Source organism: Homo sapiens, chromosome 8, assembly GCF_000001405.40.
Source record: "Homo sapiens chromosome 8, GRCh38.p14 Primary Assembly".
NCBI classification, from domain to species: domain Eukaryota; kingdom Metazoa; phylum Chordata; class Mammalia; order Primates; family Hominidae; genus Homo; species Homo sapiens.
In genome coordinates, this window is record NC_000008.11 from 13201734 (window position 1) to 13219175 (window position 17442).

At 36.8% G+C, this 17442-nt stretch overlaps 1 protein-coding gene across 16 annotated transcripts in view; it reads right to left on the reverse strand.

The window, feature by feature from the left end:
- DLC1 (DLC1 Rho GTPase activating protein) overlaps positions 1–17442 on the reverse strand; it is a 521260-nt gene that overhangs the window by 118373 nt on the left and 385445 nt on the right. Inside the window, exon 6 of one of the 16 annotated variants that reach the window (NM_001413125.1) lies at positions 8820–13044. The exons of 14 other annotated variants lie outside the window; for them this stretch is intronic. In NM_001413125.1, coding sequence (NP_001400054.1) covers positions 12893–13044 — 152 coding nt within the window. In that variant the 3' untranslated portion in view covers positions 8820–12892. Of the gene's footprint in view, positions 1–8819; positions 13045–17442 lie in introns of those variants that run through there. One more of the 16 variants, NM_001413134.1, reaches the window with a different exon arrangement.

Here is a 17442-nt window from a genome sequence, read left to right on the forward strand (position 1 = left end):
TAGTTTCTCTAAAACGCATCATGAATGTGTACAAAATGTATTTTTAAATTTTTATTTTTTTCAAACATTTATTTATTTTATGTTCAGGGGTATATACATGCCGGTTTGTTATATAGGTAAACTCATGTCACAGGGTTTGTCATACAGATTATTTTCTCCCCCAGGTACTAAGTCTAGTACCCAAAAGGTTTTTTTTTTTTTTTTTTTTTTGGTTGGTTCGTTGTTTGTTTTGAGACAGAGTCTTGCTCTGTCACCAGGCTGGAGTGCAGTGGTGCGATCTCGGCTCACTGCAACCTCTGCCTCCCTGGTTCAAGTGATTCTCCTGCCTCAGCCTACCAAGTAGCTGGGACTACCAGTGCGCGCCAAAACGCCCAGTTAATTTTTGTATTTTTAATAGAGAAGGGGTTTCACCATGTCGGCCAGGATGGTCTTGATCTCTTGACCTCGTGATCCACCGGCCTCGGCCTCCTAAAGTGCTGGGATTACAGGTGTGAGCCGCTGTGCCAGGCCTCAATAGGGTATTTTTAAATTTAAAACGTTTTAATAAGTTTTGTTTTTAATTGACACAATAATTGTACTTATTTACAGGGTACAGTGTGATGTTTTGATACATACGTACATTGTATAATGATTAGATCAGATAATTGACATATCCATCACCTCAAACACTTGCCATTTCTTTGCAATGAGAATGTTATATCAAGTTTGTATTCCTGGATATTTAGGCCAATGAACTGGGTCTTTATTCTCCAGACTTAGTAAAATTGCCGTCTTTCTACCATCTCTGCAGAATTTCTAAGCCTGCCTGTCTTCTTGGCTTCGCTGTGGGCTTTATCTTTTCCCTCCTATTTAATTATTCATTTGATTTCTATTTCACTTCCCACACTGTGACTTTACTTTTATCAAAACTGAAGTTCCCCCCACCTTTAATTTTTTTTTAATTTTTAATTATTTATTTTTGAGATGCGGTCTCACTGTTACCCAGGCTGGAGTGCAGGGGTGCTATTACAGCTCACAGCAAACTTGACTTCCCAGCCCCAGGTGATCCTCCCACCTCTGCCTCCTGAGTAGCTGGGACTACAGGCATGCACCTCTGTGTCTCGCTAATTGTTGTATTTTTTGTAGAGACAGGGTCTCACTATGTTGCCAAGGCTGGTCTTGAACTCCTGGGCCCAAGTAATCCACCCGCCTCAGCCTCCCAAAATGCTAGATTACAGGCATGAGTCACCAAGCTTCCCCCTTGTAACACATCTTATTTCCTTTCTTTATCAAAATTAGCTTGAGATTTCAGCTTTAGTCAGTCTTTCATGAAAACCGAATAGTAGGAAAGTGGGATTCAGTCCTATGCCTCTTCTTCTGAAAACTAACCTTGCACACTTTACCTATCTTTGTCTTGCCTTAAATTTAAGATAGTGTTGACTTCATGGTATCTAGGTTGTGTTCACTTACGTGCTGTTCAATTACTCACTAGTTTCTACATTTTCTATTTTAGGTTGGAAGATGCTGGAGAAAACTCAGCATTAAGTGTCGATAATTACCATGATTTTTTAACAAACGTTTATTTGAATGATTTCTTTTTTCAAACAATACCTGGGCTACTCAGCCAAAATAATGAATAGGGAATTTCAGTGGGAAATTAGTAACAGAAAAGGGAAATAAGACGTAACAGGAAGTGTCTAGATTTCTTCTATGGGTTTTAGAATTCTGTTGGAGATGAGTATTTCTAACCCTGGAAAGTTACCAAAAATGAAATGAAGATTGAATTTCCTATGAATAGGAAGAAGTTGAAGAAAACCTGGAGATTGTGCGCAATCCTGTCTGAACTATGCATCTGGTGACACGTCTGGACAGAAGTGTTTTGATAGACTAGTTTTCCATCCTCTCTTCTTGTCAGTTTTCTTCTACGAATGTCCTCCCCCTCCCTCTGTGGTGTACTCGGTTGTAAACATAGGCTTTTACTTTTTAAGGCAAATATTCCTCAGGATTATTGACAGAAGAGGAAATTCTCTTTAAAATAGCTTTGTGATATGATTCTTGTCTTTTACTTGCAAAAAAACCTTTTGGGAAACAGAACAGAATGGATGGAAAATACCATGATAGGAAAAGAGCTCTCTAGTTTAACCTTAATTTTAGATCTATTCTCTTCCTTGGAAGTGTCATTTATGGTTTTTGCTGACTCATTTCCCTGCCATTGCTATTACCCTGGAGGAGGCACCATGACAAGCCATGCACAGACTTCATAGCATTAGTAACTTCTTGGGTCTTTGATGTGTTTTGTGTCAACAGAATCATTGTAGTACTCACGGTGTGTGTTGTTGGGGTCGGAGGTGACTTTGAAGAAAGTCTTGAAGTTTGGAAGGACAAAAATGCTCAGGGGGAAAAAAGACTGTTCTGTTAAGGAAAATATTACTGTCAAGCCAGAAATATTTCTGAAGTCTTCATTAGGTCTAGTAATCTCCAAGGATTAGGATGACGGGACCCGCGGTTGGATGACCTCTGTTGGATGTGCTAATACATAGAGGCTGAGTGGGCTGGATGGGTGGAAAACAGAGAGACGGAGTGCAAAACCAAACTCTGAAAAGAGCAGCTGTCTTTACAATGCTCATTCACTTTCTGTTACTTGCCGGCCAATGTAATGAGAACCGCTATCATAGGTGAAGGTTAAGTACACTATTTCCCTTAGACTTTAAAGTCCGCTTTAGTATTTTGCTGATGAGTATTAATGAGCAAGGATTAAATTTCAGATTTTAAAAAATCTTTTTATCTAAAAATAATAATAATTACAGATGGAGACAGTTTCAGGGTAATTTCAACTCTTTTACTTCATACACACACACAGTCATAGGTTTTAGAAGCAGTAAAATATTTTATTGAGCTAAAGTCATGGCTATTTCATTTCATTATGAGTAAGATACTTTACAAATAAAATAAATCATTGGCAAATAAAATGCTGTATTTTAATGATCTGAAAACATAACATCTTTTTAAATAGGCACTAGGTATTTTGCAGATTTCACCAATTACTTGTCACACTGTGGCTGGAAATTCTGAACCATTCCATTCATTTATTAACTCAGCCAGAAAACTGTTTTTAAATATTTATGGGAATGCTTGTGGTCAGATTCCTGCATTGCCTTTACATATAACTAAGTGGAAAGAAAGCTTTTCAATCAGTTTCTGGTACAAGCACCTGTCTTACATTTTGCATCATAACTGTAACTATGACACTAATTGGCTTGCTTCTTAACACCTTCTTGATCATACTGCCTGAATTTGGCCAGTCTTGCAACATGGCATTTTGCAATCCCATGTTAAAATGAGGCTATTATAGACCAGATGGCATTATTGGGTGGTCACACTAGGAAAAAAAAAATGCCAAAAAACTACATTGCAAGTTTTCATTTTAGATAGGAAAACAGAGTTCATTTCAGTCTGCAGAACAGACTAATAAATATCATTTGCACCTGTAAGAATAGCTGGACTTACTCTAAGGCAGGGCTTCTGAAAATGGGGTCTGGTACCCCCGGCAATTGTGCAAGATGATCCATTGGAGAAAATATGACTAACTTCTATTTATATCATTTTTTAATTGAAGAATAAATTTAAGCTTTGCAAATATTTAACTTAAGTGGATTAATGCTGATTCCTACTTCATTCCACATGGCATGTGTCACTTATACTCAAAGTCTGTTAAGGGGAGATTGTGGTTCCGCGGCATAAATGAGTTGGCCAAGTCTCTCTCAATCATTCTTTTGCTTTCATCATTTACATAAGGGCGGGGGGCCCAAACTTTTGGTTTCCCTGGGCCACATTGGAAGAAGAAGAATTGTCTTGGGCCAGACATAAAATAGACTAACACTAATGATAGCTGATGAGCTAAAAAAAAAATAGCAAAAAATTCTTCTAATATTTTAAGAAAGCTTGACAAATTTATGTTGGGCTGCATTCAAAGCTGTCTTGGGATGCATGTAGTCCACAGGCCGTGGGTTGGACAAGCTTGATTTAAATGTTTCAAGTCATTTATGGATGAACATAAGTAGACATAAGAGAGTTTAAAGACATATTATCTCATCTGAAAGAAATTTGACTAAAATAATACTAATAAGTCAAGACAAAGTGAAGAGCAAGAGACCATTGACATTTCTCTGAGTCCTATTAGGAACTATTGATGTTTTGACAATCTAATCAGATTTGACAAAATTTCTGCCTCCACCTTCTCCCCCATGGAAGGATCAAGAAGACTATTAAAATATAGATAGCCCCTTACTCTTTTTCAAAGTGAACCTTGACCTAGAGGAAAAATGTGCCTTGAGATGTTAGCTAAGGATAGAGCAAAGTCATCACTGTTAGCAAGACATTTTAAATATATTCTGTGATTTCTCCTGTGATGTTTAGTTATGTAACACCCAATTAATGTTTAATGAAAAACTTCACTGAATAGCCAATGATCTAAAGACTCATTGAGGAAACATGTTCATCTTGCCTTAGTAAAAATGGCTGAAAGAATCCTTGGAAAACAACGTGGTTAGCAGGCTAAAATACATTCCTTTGAATGTATTTCCCAGTAAAAACACAGTCGACATTGCAAAAGATCTGAATAAACAAGTTTTATAACAAATTATGTCATGTAAAAGGTTTGGAATATACAGTAAATGTAAGCACAGATGTTTCTAATACGTCTCGGCTTATAGTATTTGCTAAATTTTGTTTCAGTGATGGAATATGAACGATTACCTTCCCCCTTTCATTATGAGCCACTAAAGGGAAGAAAGACCAATGAGGTGATAGTCTCAACAGTAAATGGCTCGTTTAACAAATATAATATTTCATCTAAAAACTATAAATGTAACCACAGAAAGAATTCTAGGCTAAGTTTATGGAGATAACATTGCAAAATTAATAAACGAGCTATTTTAGCAAAAAGTTAAAGCTAAAAGTGCACAAAATGCTATAGACTGACATTGATATTCTAATGTTTTCATTAAAAAAACCCAAATTAGTAAAAAGTGAGTTCTTTACAATATTTGAAATGAGGTAGGGAGTGGCCACAAACACCATTTGTTACCATACAGAGGTTTGCTGGTTATCTCAGAGCAAAGAACTCGAACAGCACATGACTTACTAATTTTTTTTTTACAAAAATCAAATAACTCAAATTTACTGACATTTCAGTGATGATAAGCAGCTGTCACTATTATGCTACTGAGAATACATTTTTTTAAACATTACATAATTTGTTTCTCCAAGATAAAGATGTCACTTAAACAATGAGTGAGCAAGTAAGTGCTTTATAAAAGAAGTTGTGTTATGTATAAATCATTCTAAAAATATTTTGGAAATGTGTATATTGTTATATGAATTTATTACTGAAAATGATGTGTATTTACTACCTATTAAAACTCATACACAAATTTTAAAAATCTGAATACAGTTTTCCAATCAATTAAAATTTTGACAAATTAATAATTGCACTTGTGGTAATTTCAAATTACGTATTCAAAATATAAAAATGCAATTTCCGATTTGTTTTCAAGACATCAAGGCATATATATTTACTAGTAAAATTTCAGTAGACTCCTTTGGGTTACTGTTAGGCTAGATAAAAATTTTGCATCATGACTTAGTAAAAAAGTTGTATTTTGTCCGTTTGGAGTTACATGTCTTTTTCTACCTTCACGGCTTTTAAAATCAAGTATTAAACTGCAGTTTGAATCGGTGTGCCTCCTTCTTTAGGCTAAGATTTAAAAAGCAACTTCAAGCATATTCTGTCATATTTTTTATCCTAAAAGTTATTCATTATAACATTTATAGAGAAAGAAAGTTTCTTTTGGCCCTATTAAAAAAGAAACTCAACCTTAAAAATAGACATTTTTTCATGGTTGCTTTACACCATATATTAGTGCAGTGTTACATGAACGTTATTTAGAGTAGTGGTTCTCAGTTGGAGTGATCTTTCTCCCTAGGGGACATTTGGCAGTGTCTGGAGAGGTTTTGGCTGTCACACCTGGGGGAGGTACTGCCGACATACAGTTGGTAGAAGCCAGGGGTGCTGCTAACATCCCATGATGTACAGTTCTCCACGACAAAGAATTATCTTGCCCAAAACGTCAATGGTGCCGGGGTTGAGAAACCATGCTTTAGTGATTATGATATACATAGTGTGTACTTGACAGTATTATGTATACCCATTTTAAAACAGTTTGGAGGCCACTGTAAGTTATGACATTTGAGAAGCTGAATTACCAGTTGAGATTCTATTTGGTTCAAAGTGCAAAATGTCTAGTATTTGTTTTAATTCACCATAGTATTTTGATTTAAAATCCATCTTATGTTTAGCTCTGTGAATTTTAAACCATGGGTTGACTAGAAAAGGACTTCTCAGTGAGCAACGTCACATGTATATATCTTTAAGGCTGGCTTCTGTTTTTGTTGTTGGTGTTATTGTTTTTAGGTACTAAACTGTTTAAAACATCAGGATTTCATGAGGTTATATATGTATACTGTCATACAGAATTCAAGAAATTTAATAAAATATGGACATGGAAATAAATTGCATGAAGCTTATTCATATCTTATTACCTATCAGTTTCTAGGCAGAGAAGGACTAAATTTAGAAACACAGCCAAAGATTTTTGTTATCAGGCTCCTTGCCTCTATTTTGGCCAGTCTTCCCAAGAACATTATGAAGAGAAAACAATTTTTATTATTTATCACTTTGTTTACCAGTAGAAACTATTCTATTTTACAAAAATGTAGCAAATTCACAATATCAGTTTTAAAGGCTGCTACAATTAGTCTTCCTTTCTTTGGTGCAGGGTTTTTAGATTAAAAGTTCTTCTTATGTGATATTTTATCGAACTTCTGCTTCCTTTCTGCAATGCCCAGAATTTCAGATCAAGTATGAGTCATGACTTTGGAACCGTGGCTTAAGGATTAAGTTATAAAATTAAAAAGATAATAGACATTTCAATGCAGGACAAGAAACACACACCACACACACACATACACACAGACACACACACACACACACACACACACACACTTCTAATAAATGCTAAGAAGTAAGATAGTTTTACAAGCAATTCCTTAAAACTTGGAAGAGCTGATGATGTGGGAAAAATAAAAAATGTTTCTATCAGAAGAGAAAAATGAATGGCCTAACATCTCTTATTTGCAGCTTAAGTTGTGAAAATATCATTTATAATGTGTGCATTAATTGTATTCCACACATGACTATTTTAGTTGATGTTATAGAATGTGACAAATGTTAAAGAAGATGAAAATAAAACGAATGTTAAGAATAACTTGATGACTTTGATTTTTCTAACTAGATTCTTTCTAAAGCCCGTAGATGCCAGAAAAACAAATACTTCCTTGATAAAAAGATCTTTGGACTGGGGAACTGCTTTTTCACCAAGGCTACAGGAACTGCTAATAATTCCTGTAGCTATTTGATATATATTGATGTATGATGTTTGTCTGTGACTATCAACCTATGTATCCTTATAAATCTATAGATAGATATCTATAAAGACTCATCTCAAGATTTTTGAGAGTCCATGCAATCTTAATTTCCAGTATTGCATATAATTTTCACTATATAAACATAATTCCTTTGGAGAGTTAGTGCAAGTAGAGAACAATAACATCATGATGAGATACGGACATAGGAAAAGTAGCTAAGCTCACTCACTAGTGGATGACTTCTGCTCATCAGTCTGTCTGACAAAATTAAAGCTTATTTGAGATTATAGAATATGGTATTGCTCATAAATAGAAAAAATAGCAAAACCCTGTGATACAGTTTGGATGTTGTCCCTGCCCGAATCTCATGTTGAAATGTAATCCTCAGTGTTGGAGGTGGGACCTGGTGGAGTGTTCGGGTCTTGGGGGTGGATTTCTCATGAATGGTTTAGCACCATCCTCTTGGTACTGTCCTCGTGATAGTCAATGAGTTCTTATGAGATCTGGCCGATTACAGGTGTGTGGCACCTCCCTCCTGTCTCTCTTGCTGCTACTTCCACCATGTGAGATGCCTGCTCCCCCTTCACCTTCTGCCATGATTGTAAGCTTACTGAGGCCTTCTCAGAAGCAGATGCTGGTGTTATGCTTTCTGTACAGCCTGCAGAACCAGGAGCCAATTAAACCTCTTTTTTTGCAAATTACCCAGTTTCAGGTATTTCTTTATAGCAATGCAAGGACAGCCTAACACACCCTGTAAATGTTAAATATGAGAATGGCAAGTCTAGGCAATAAGCTAAAATCAGTTATGACCTTTGAAATATTAAGATTATGGTTGCTAAATTTTGGTGTTTGGTGTGGGGTAGGGAGGTAGAGAGGAAATGTTTTTTTCTTACTCTCAAATTTCTATAGTTAAATGCTACTGGAGCAAGGATAGAAAAAATTGGAAACTTGTTGCCCATGTGTCAATACTGATTTCTTGCTTTTATTTTATTTTTTTAAAATAGCTAACAAAACACAGCATAGTCCAAGAGTTCTATCCTGTTCTTTTGTGCTTAGCAAATGTGGTTTCCCACCTCCGCTCTCAATTCTGGGTATCTTTAAATACTGTTTTTAGAAGACCAGGATATTTATTAAAGGGAGAAGATCAAAGATCACAGCACTGAATGACATCAACAATGTCATTGTCAACAAACTTTTACTGGAGGCATTGTCATTGTCAATGTCAATGTCAACAAACTTTTATTGGAGATGAAAGTTTAGAAGAAAAAAATCGAAGTATGCTAACCCTGCTAATAGGTGTAAAATTGCATCATAAAGTAAACAGAAGCAATAAGATTTGCTCTTCTATAGAGGTCTATCTTTCAAAAACCTTTTTATTGAAAATTCATTTACTACATTAAATCAATTTTAGAAATACTTTCTCTGACTTTTGGAAAGAAGAAAATTGATATTTTGCTATTGTAACACAGTTGGTCCTCATCGGTTATTTGGTACCTGGTAGTTCAATAGAACCGCTTTAGGTTTTCCACTTTCAGTGACTTGATAGTTAAATACATACTTTGACATCTTTTGAGGAAAATGATTTAGCCCTTATTATCTTCAGAATGAAAACCAAATACAGCATTTGCTATTCTTGCCGCTTTTAAGTCTCTTTCCCTGGTCTGAAGTTCTTCTGCCTTAAATAATCTATTAGTTTTAAATCATTTCATCTGTAGGAATAGAATGAACATTTAAAATGAATAGAGTGTCAGCTTTCTCATTCTTCTAGACTTACAACTACTAAACAAATAAATAATGGGGGTGAGGTAGGAGATGAGCAGGACTTGTTTTCAAGACCCTCCTGATCTAAACAGGATGTGGCAAAGAAACTGCCTCAAACCAGCTAGGACTAGGAATTATCACGTATTTGCTTAAGACATGCCCAACAGTGCCACGACAGTTTATAAATGCCGTGGCAACGACCTGGAAGTTACATTATGTGGTTCTGGGAACTCCTTGCCCCATTTCCCAGGAAGTTTGTGAATAATACGCTTCTTACTTAGCATATAGTTAAAAGTGAGCATAAATATAGCTAGCCATCAATGCACAAGGGCTACTCTGTGCTACTTTGCCTAGGGGTAGCCCTGCTCTGTCTATGGAGCACCGTTTTGCTGTACTCTGTGTGCTACTTTGCCTAGGGGTAGCCCTGCTCTGTCTATGGAACACCGTTTTGCTGTACACTGTTGCTCTAATGAACTTGCTTTCTTTCACTGTCAGCTCACACTTGCATTCTCTCCTGAGTGAAGCCAAAAACCCTCTGAGGCTAAGCCCCAACTTTGGGGTTCACTTGCATCAGCTGGGTGTGGGGAAGACAGAGAAGGAGAGCAATATCTTCTGTAGGGAACTTTTGAGGTAAATATTGGTCTCTTTCTAAAACTCCTTGCAAGCCACTATATCAGTTGTCAACAAATGCTAGTCATGTTTCCTCTGTCTATTAGATACAAAACACAATAACACCTTACCAGGATTTGGTAGGTGAAAATGTCAATTTCTTTTGCCTAGTTCCTTGTAATTGAAATGATTTGTTACAGCATGATAACTATAGAGTAGAAATAAAAACTAGGCTGGAATTGAAAAGAAAACAAACCCCCAAATTGAGGAAGAGTAGAGGCTTTTTTGGAAACATACATGAAATCCTGGCAGGTAAAATAACTGTGTATTGTATATGTCAGCATGCTAGAATGAAATTTTAACACAACTCCTATGTCAAATGTTGACAAACTAAAGCTGGTCAACAACGAGGTTAAATAAATCATAACCAGGACATTAACACCCCATGGAAAAGGCATGCATGAAAGCAGCTGGTACTGTCCCTGATAGACAAAACAATGAACATTGACCCAGTTTCAACAAGTTATGTTATAAATATGTAAACATTCCGTAGAGAATTTCTATGTTAAGAAATTTATGTTATGTTATTAAGTTTATATTACAGAGGCTTCCATTCCTCTTAACAACATACATGGCTTTTTAAAAATATCAGGATGACCAACCAGCCACGATGGCCTTCTCAGCTTCCAGAATTCCCTCTGCCCTGTCTATATTCCTGATCTTCCCCTACACTATGTTAGGTCCATGTGTGCGTACACATTTCAATGGCACACTGCTTTTGTTTTGTTTTGTTTTTGGAACAATCAGGAATTACTCTCTGCTCTGCTAGGTTTCATGAGGACAGGGGTTGCCTCTGCATTTATTGCTATGTCTCTAGTGCTTAGCATAGTGCTTGACATGAGTGAATTCTTATTTGTTCATTTCATAAGACCATCTTTTTCTGCTTGTCCTGGTTTATACGGTTTTGGTATTGCTCTGGGCACTCATTATGCAACATAAAATTGATTTTCAAAATGTTAACTATGATGTGATAGTTTAATGTGAGAAAATAGAAGGAAAAGATGAAATGGGTGACAAATGATTGCCCGTTTTTAATGATGGACTGCACAGTATTATTGACGGTGCTTGTGCTTTCTCGAGTGGCTTTCTTAGAATAGTTCCAAGAACTTCAAACATGCCTTTAATCCTTCAGTTATCTCTGTGATATGTAAAGCATTTTCAATATCACCATATAACAGCTTGGGAGGCAGACAGGTCTGAAAAGCAGAAGTCCAGAAATGTTTTCCGTTTGACTAAATGTTTGTTTCTAGCTTAAGCTTTCACTCTTTTCATTTGATCTCATCCAAATTTGCTTTACTGAAGGGCGCCGTTTAAATTTTTTATTTGTATCACTTTCTATTTGCTATGTATAGATTTTTAAATGGCTTAATTTTCTTTTGGAATCCTCACATTTCAAAAAGAGATGTTGAATGTAGTGGGAGTTGAAGACAGATATTAATGGACTGCTCTTCATTTTAGTCTCGCTCAAAGATACAGTGAAAGACTTAATAAAAATTCTGCATGATAATATCAACATTAAATATACACAGATAAGGAATTTATAGGCTCTGAGAAAACAGAATTTTCTTCAGACATTTTTGGCTGTATGTAGCTCAGGAAAGCAAAATGACTACACAGACGTGTACATATACCTGGGCCCACTGTATAGAGGTGCACAGTTGTGCATTATACACCTCTGTGGGCACTATTGTCACCTATAATACACTTTATATCTTTGGAATATATAGAAATAACAACAGAAGCCTCTATATTTCTACATACAGATTAAAGAATAATGTCTTCCCAAGTTAATCAGGACTCATCAGAGTTTCAGAGAACCCATAAATTACAGAATCTTGAAAAGATGTTAGAAAATAATTGGTTTTAAATCCAAAGATATACCATTTGAATATATATGCTACTTTAAAAAACACTAATGAGTTGGCTTTTTGCGTGAATTAAATATGAAACTTGAGAGGCTTTCATTTCCGGCGAAAGAAACCACATAGCAGCTTCCTTTTCCCTGTTTGATGCCTCTTCAATAATGCAGTCTCATCTTTTATGTATCTTAGCCATGTCTGCTGTATGGACCCAACTGTACAATAAAATTTCAAACCAATGCTTAATGAGAATTTGGTAACTTGATGCGTTTCATAAGTGTTTATGTTATGTTTGTTTCCGTTTTTTTTTTTTTGGAGACAGGGTCTCCCTCTGTTGCCCAGCCTGGAGTGCAGTGGCGTGATCTCAGTTCACTGCAACCTCTGCCTTCCGAGTTAAAGCGATTCTCATGCCTCAGCCTCCTGAATAGCTGGGATTACAGGCGACTCCCACCATGCCTGGCTAATTTTTGTATGTTTAGTAGAGATGGGGTTTCTCCATGTTGGCCAGGCCGCTCTCGAACTCCTGATCTCAAGTGATCCGTCCACTTCAGCCTCCCAAAGTGTTGGGTTTACAGGTGTGAGCCACTGGGCCTGGCTGTTTATTTGTTTTCTTTATAAGAAGATATATTCTGAGTACAATATCCCAGGGCTTCTCTTTCTCTTCTAAGTGAAGATTTCAAGTGTGGTACACAACAAATTGCAAGTTGATGCAGAAAGTGAGCAGACATTATGGATGGCTAGGAAATCCTCAGAATGGTTAAAGAGAGTGGAACGTATGCAAAGGAAGTTTCTTCTAACCAGGGAGGGCATCCGTAAATGACCAATTTAGCATCCTTACATTGTTTCCCGGGTTCTTTAGGAAAGTTTCCCTTTTAGCTTTCGGGACCCTGTTGACAGGCTTTGGAGCCCACTCTCCTATTTGCTTGGTCTGAAGGACCTTGCAGCTTTGCACTGTCAAACATGACCTGTGGTCTGTGCTGACTGTTGGTATCTCAGGTTTCTCTTATCATTGGTGAAACTGGCATATTGTCACATCTTACTGAAGAGCTGTCCCCCGGCCCCAACCCCACCTTTTTTTTTTTTTTTTTGTGGCTGCCCGAGGAAATTGGAGTGCAGTGTTCTGCCAGGCACACACCGGCCTAGGTGATGTTTTCTTCTCCAGCAACATGGAAAAGCCTCTTCTGGGGAAAGGTGTAAGGAGACAAACCAATTGCCACTTCCGAGTTGGAAAAATTGGATCCCTTTGTGCTCTTATCTTCATCCACTTCCAACTTTACTGATTTTACCGCTGCTGGGTTCCAGGGGAGGTAAAAAGGAGAGGAGAAAATGATTGATTTGAGTGCTGGTGGCAATCAATGAGTGGCAATAGATGGGTCTCATGACAGGGCTTTTGTAAGCGCCTTGCTCCATGACTGGGAATAAGATATTGTCAAACTCAGCACCACAAAATGCACACAGTGCCCATTTAACCACGTAACCATCCAGGAGGAGTACACACACAATATGTGCCTCTTATTAATTCATTTGTTCATTTATTCATTCGGCAAATAATTATAGAGGCTACCATGTGCTGGGCAGTGTTCTAAGCAAAGGATTATAACCATGAACAAAACAGCCCCAAATCCCTGCCCTTTGGAAGCTTACATGCTAACGGAGCCTACTTTCTACATTCTCTATATCCTTACGATAGAGTAAAACTATTAGATCATTTCCCAAACGTCTTACAAAAAAATAATTTTAACAAAAAAAATTAATAAAAGTAGTTATCTGCCTAGGTACCAGGCTGAAAGACTCTGAATTTAAATATTAAATGTGAAGGCTGGGCACAGTGGCTCACGCCTGTAATCCCAACATTTTGGGAGGCCGAGGTGCGTGGATCACTTGTGGTCAGGAGTTTGAGACCAGCCTGGCCAACATGGTGAAACCCCATCTCTACTAAAAATACAAAAATTAGCTGGGCGTGGTGGGGCACGTCTATAGTCACAGCTACTTGGGAGGCTGAGGCAGCAGGATCACTTGAGCCCAGAAGGCAGAAGTTTCAGTTAGCCAAGATCACGCCACTGCACTCCAGCTTGGGTGACAGAGAAGACCCTATCTCAAAAAACAAAAACAAATATTAAATGTGAAAAAAATTCAAACAAAGAGCTAGAAAGTACATCCTACTAGGGAAGCAAACTTTAAAACATACTACTATTGTAGAACTATTGAAGGTGAGACATATTCAGGGAAACTTCATAATCCATATTTTCTTAAGATTCTGTGTTGATTATTTATAAAATATTAAACACCCAGTCTTAGAAACCACATATATTTTTCACTCGTAATCTTTCGCATTAGATAGGACTAGTGCGCAAGCCCGTGGAGTAATCTACTGATTTTTCTGTCTACCTCTACAAAAGGCTACAACTCGTCTCCCCAGTGTGCCCTGCTGGGAGTGGCTGCTCGAATCCATTTAGTGCCCACCAGATCCCTCTTACCCACTCATGGTGTTTCCCCAGAAAAGTTTCCTAGGTGATTTTTCTAACTCCATTCTCTCGCAGTTCCCATCTTTCCTACACATTGCATCAAAGTGAACCTTCCGAAGAGTCACTGTCCTCTTATTGCTGTCCTGTTCCAGATGGTCTCATCAGACCCAGTTTCCTCTCCTTGCCAGCCTTCCACACTCTGGCACCAACTCAGTTTAGCAACAAACACAACAATAAAGTCAACAATAATACTTTGTATTTTCAGTGATGAATTATTTTACACCAAAGGTCTCATTTGATACTCAAAACTTAGAAAGAGTCAAAGTTGTTACAATTATTTTCATTTGACAGAGGACTATATTGAAGTTGAGAAAACTCACATGATTTGTTCAAAGCCACCCAGCTGCCAGGTAGAAGGATCAGGTTTAAAATCCAGTTCTTCTGAGTTGCAGATCACCTCTCTAGTCACTGCTTCCTTTCATGACACACTCTACTCCAAGGGGCTCAAGTCCATTTCTAGTTCCACTCCTTGCCACACTCCTCCCCAACTGGCAGCACTCTTATTGCCCATTTTACCCCATCCCTCTACCCAGCAGAACGTGCCAAGACTTCATAGTCTGCCTAAGGGTCCTTTCCTTCGTGTCATTTCCCCTGAGAGCTCCAGCATGCAATCACCTCCTCTTTCTCTGAAATACTTCCCTTAGCAATGGTTTAGCCCAGGGTTTCTCAACCTCAGGACTATGTACAGTTTGTGTCAACTGATTCTTTGTTGTGGGGGTCTGTCCTGTGCATTATAGGACATTTAGTGGCATCCCTGGGCCTCTATCTAGTAGACACTAGTAGTACCCCCAGCTGTGATAATCAAAAATATCTCTAGACATTGCCAAATGTTCCATGGGAAACCAAACCAAATTACCTCTGGTTTTGAACCACTGGCTTAACCTGTAATTGTTCTCTAATTGGGTGATGTGGGACAGGTGTGCCTCCCCTGAAACTTGAGGCTGTGGGCAGCATGTTTGTCTTTTGCTTGTGTCCTTGAAGGTGTTCTGTGCACAATAAAGAACTGAATATAGGTTGTGAATCTAAGCCCCACTTCCTAGTTTCAAATTGGAGCCAGCAATCACATCTTAATACTCCTGGTTAATTTTGAGTTGTACAGTACAGTAAATAAAAACCTAAGTTCTAAAATTTAAAGAAATGGATATAAACATCAGTTCTCTTACTATTTGTATAGCTGTGAGATGCTTGCTTTTCCATTTGTCTATGCCAGTGTTATCCAATAGAAATATAATACAAGACACATTAAAAGAGTAAAAAGAACCAAATCACGTTTGTGACTTTATTACTTAATCTAATGTATAAAATATCATTTTACAACGTTATTAATATCAACAATTCATGAAGGATGTGTGTGGCATTCTTCTCTTTGTACTAAGTTGTGCATTTCCTCTTATAACATGTCTCACTAGAATGATCTGCATCTGAGCCACTCAATAGCCATGTTATGTCTAATGGTTACTAAATGCATTGGCTTCCCCCATTAGGCTGTGAACATTTTGAGGGAAGAGACTCTGTCATATTCATTTATAATTAAAAACAACTGGCTGGCATGGTGGCTCACGCCTGAAATCCCAGCACTTTGGGAGGCTGAGGAGGGCGGATTATGAGGTCAGGAGATCGAGACCATCCTGGCTAACATGGTGAAACTCTGTCTCTACTAAAAATACAAAAAAAAAATTAGCCGGGCGTGGTGGTGGGCACCTGTAGTCCCAGCTACTTGGGAGGCTGAGGCAGGAGAATTGCTTGAACCTGGGAGGCAGAGATTGCGGTGAGCCGAGATCACGCCACTGCACGCCGGCCTGAGTGACAGAGTGAGACTCCATTTCAAAAAAAAAACAACAACAAAAAAAAACCAACCAACTAAAAGTTGTTCTTTAAATAAAATACTCTGATTTTCTTGGGTCAAGGGCTTGCGTCCTCTTTGATTCCTTTTTGCTCACTCTGGGAACCATTTTAGCCCTTACATAAAATACCAGAAACATGACAGAAGCCAGTCCCCTCCCTTGAATGGAGTCCTCTCTACTTGTAGAAATAAGACATACATGTATCAAATCACAACAAAAAGCAATATATAATAATTAACTAAAATGCTATCCACTAGAAAGTTTCAAAATCAATGGGTGATGGAAAGAACAGTCTCTTCAACAAATGGTGCTGGGACAACTGACTAGCCACATGCAAATTAATAAACTAGGATCCTTACCTTACACCGTATACAAAAATTAACTAAAAATGGATTGAAGGCCTATGTTTAAGAGCTAAAACTATAAAACTCCTAGAAGAAAGCATAGATGAAAATGTCCATGATACTGAATTTGGCAATGCTGTCTTAGATATGACACCAAAAGCATGAACAACAAAAGAAGGATAAGCTGGACTTCATCAAAATTAAAGGCTTTTGTGCGTCAAAGGAAACTGTTGATAAAGAGACAACCCAAATAATAAGAGAAAAAATTTACAAATCAGTAGACATTTTCCAAAGATGATAATGCCTAACATACATGAAAAGATGCTCAGGGTTACTAGCCATTAGGGAATTGCAAATCAAAACTACAGTGATGTAATGCTTCACACACACTAGGACAGCTATCATAATTTGAGAAAAGGAAAATCACAAGTATTGGTGAGGAGGTAGAGAAACTGGTTCACGCATTGCTAATGGGAATGTAAAAATGATGAAGTCTTTTGAAATAGTTTGGCAGTTTCTTAATAAGTTAAATATATAATTATCATATGACCCACCAATTCTATTCATGTTTATATATTTTATATATAATATAAATATATATCATAATTATATTCATAATTATATGAATATAACTATATATGAATATAATTATATAATTATATATGAATATAATTATATAATTATATATGAATATATATAATTACATACGAATATATAATTATATAATTACGTACGAATATGATTATATAATTATATACGTATATAATTATATACGTATATAACTATATAATTATATACGAATATAATTATATAATTATATACGTATATAATTATGTGAATATAATTATATACGAATATAATTACGTGAATATAATTATATAATTATATGTGAATGTAATTATATAATTATATGTGAATATAATTATATAATTATATGTGAATATAATTATATAATTATATGAATATAACTATATAA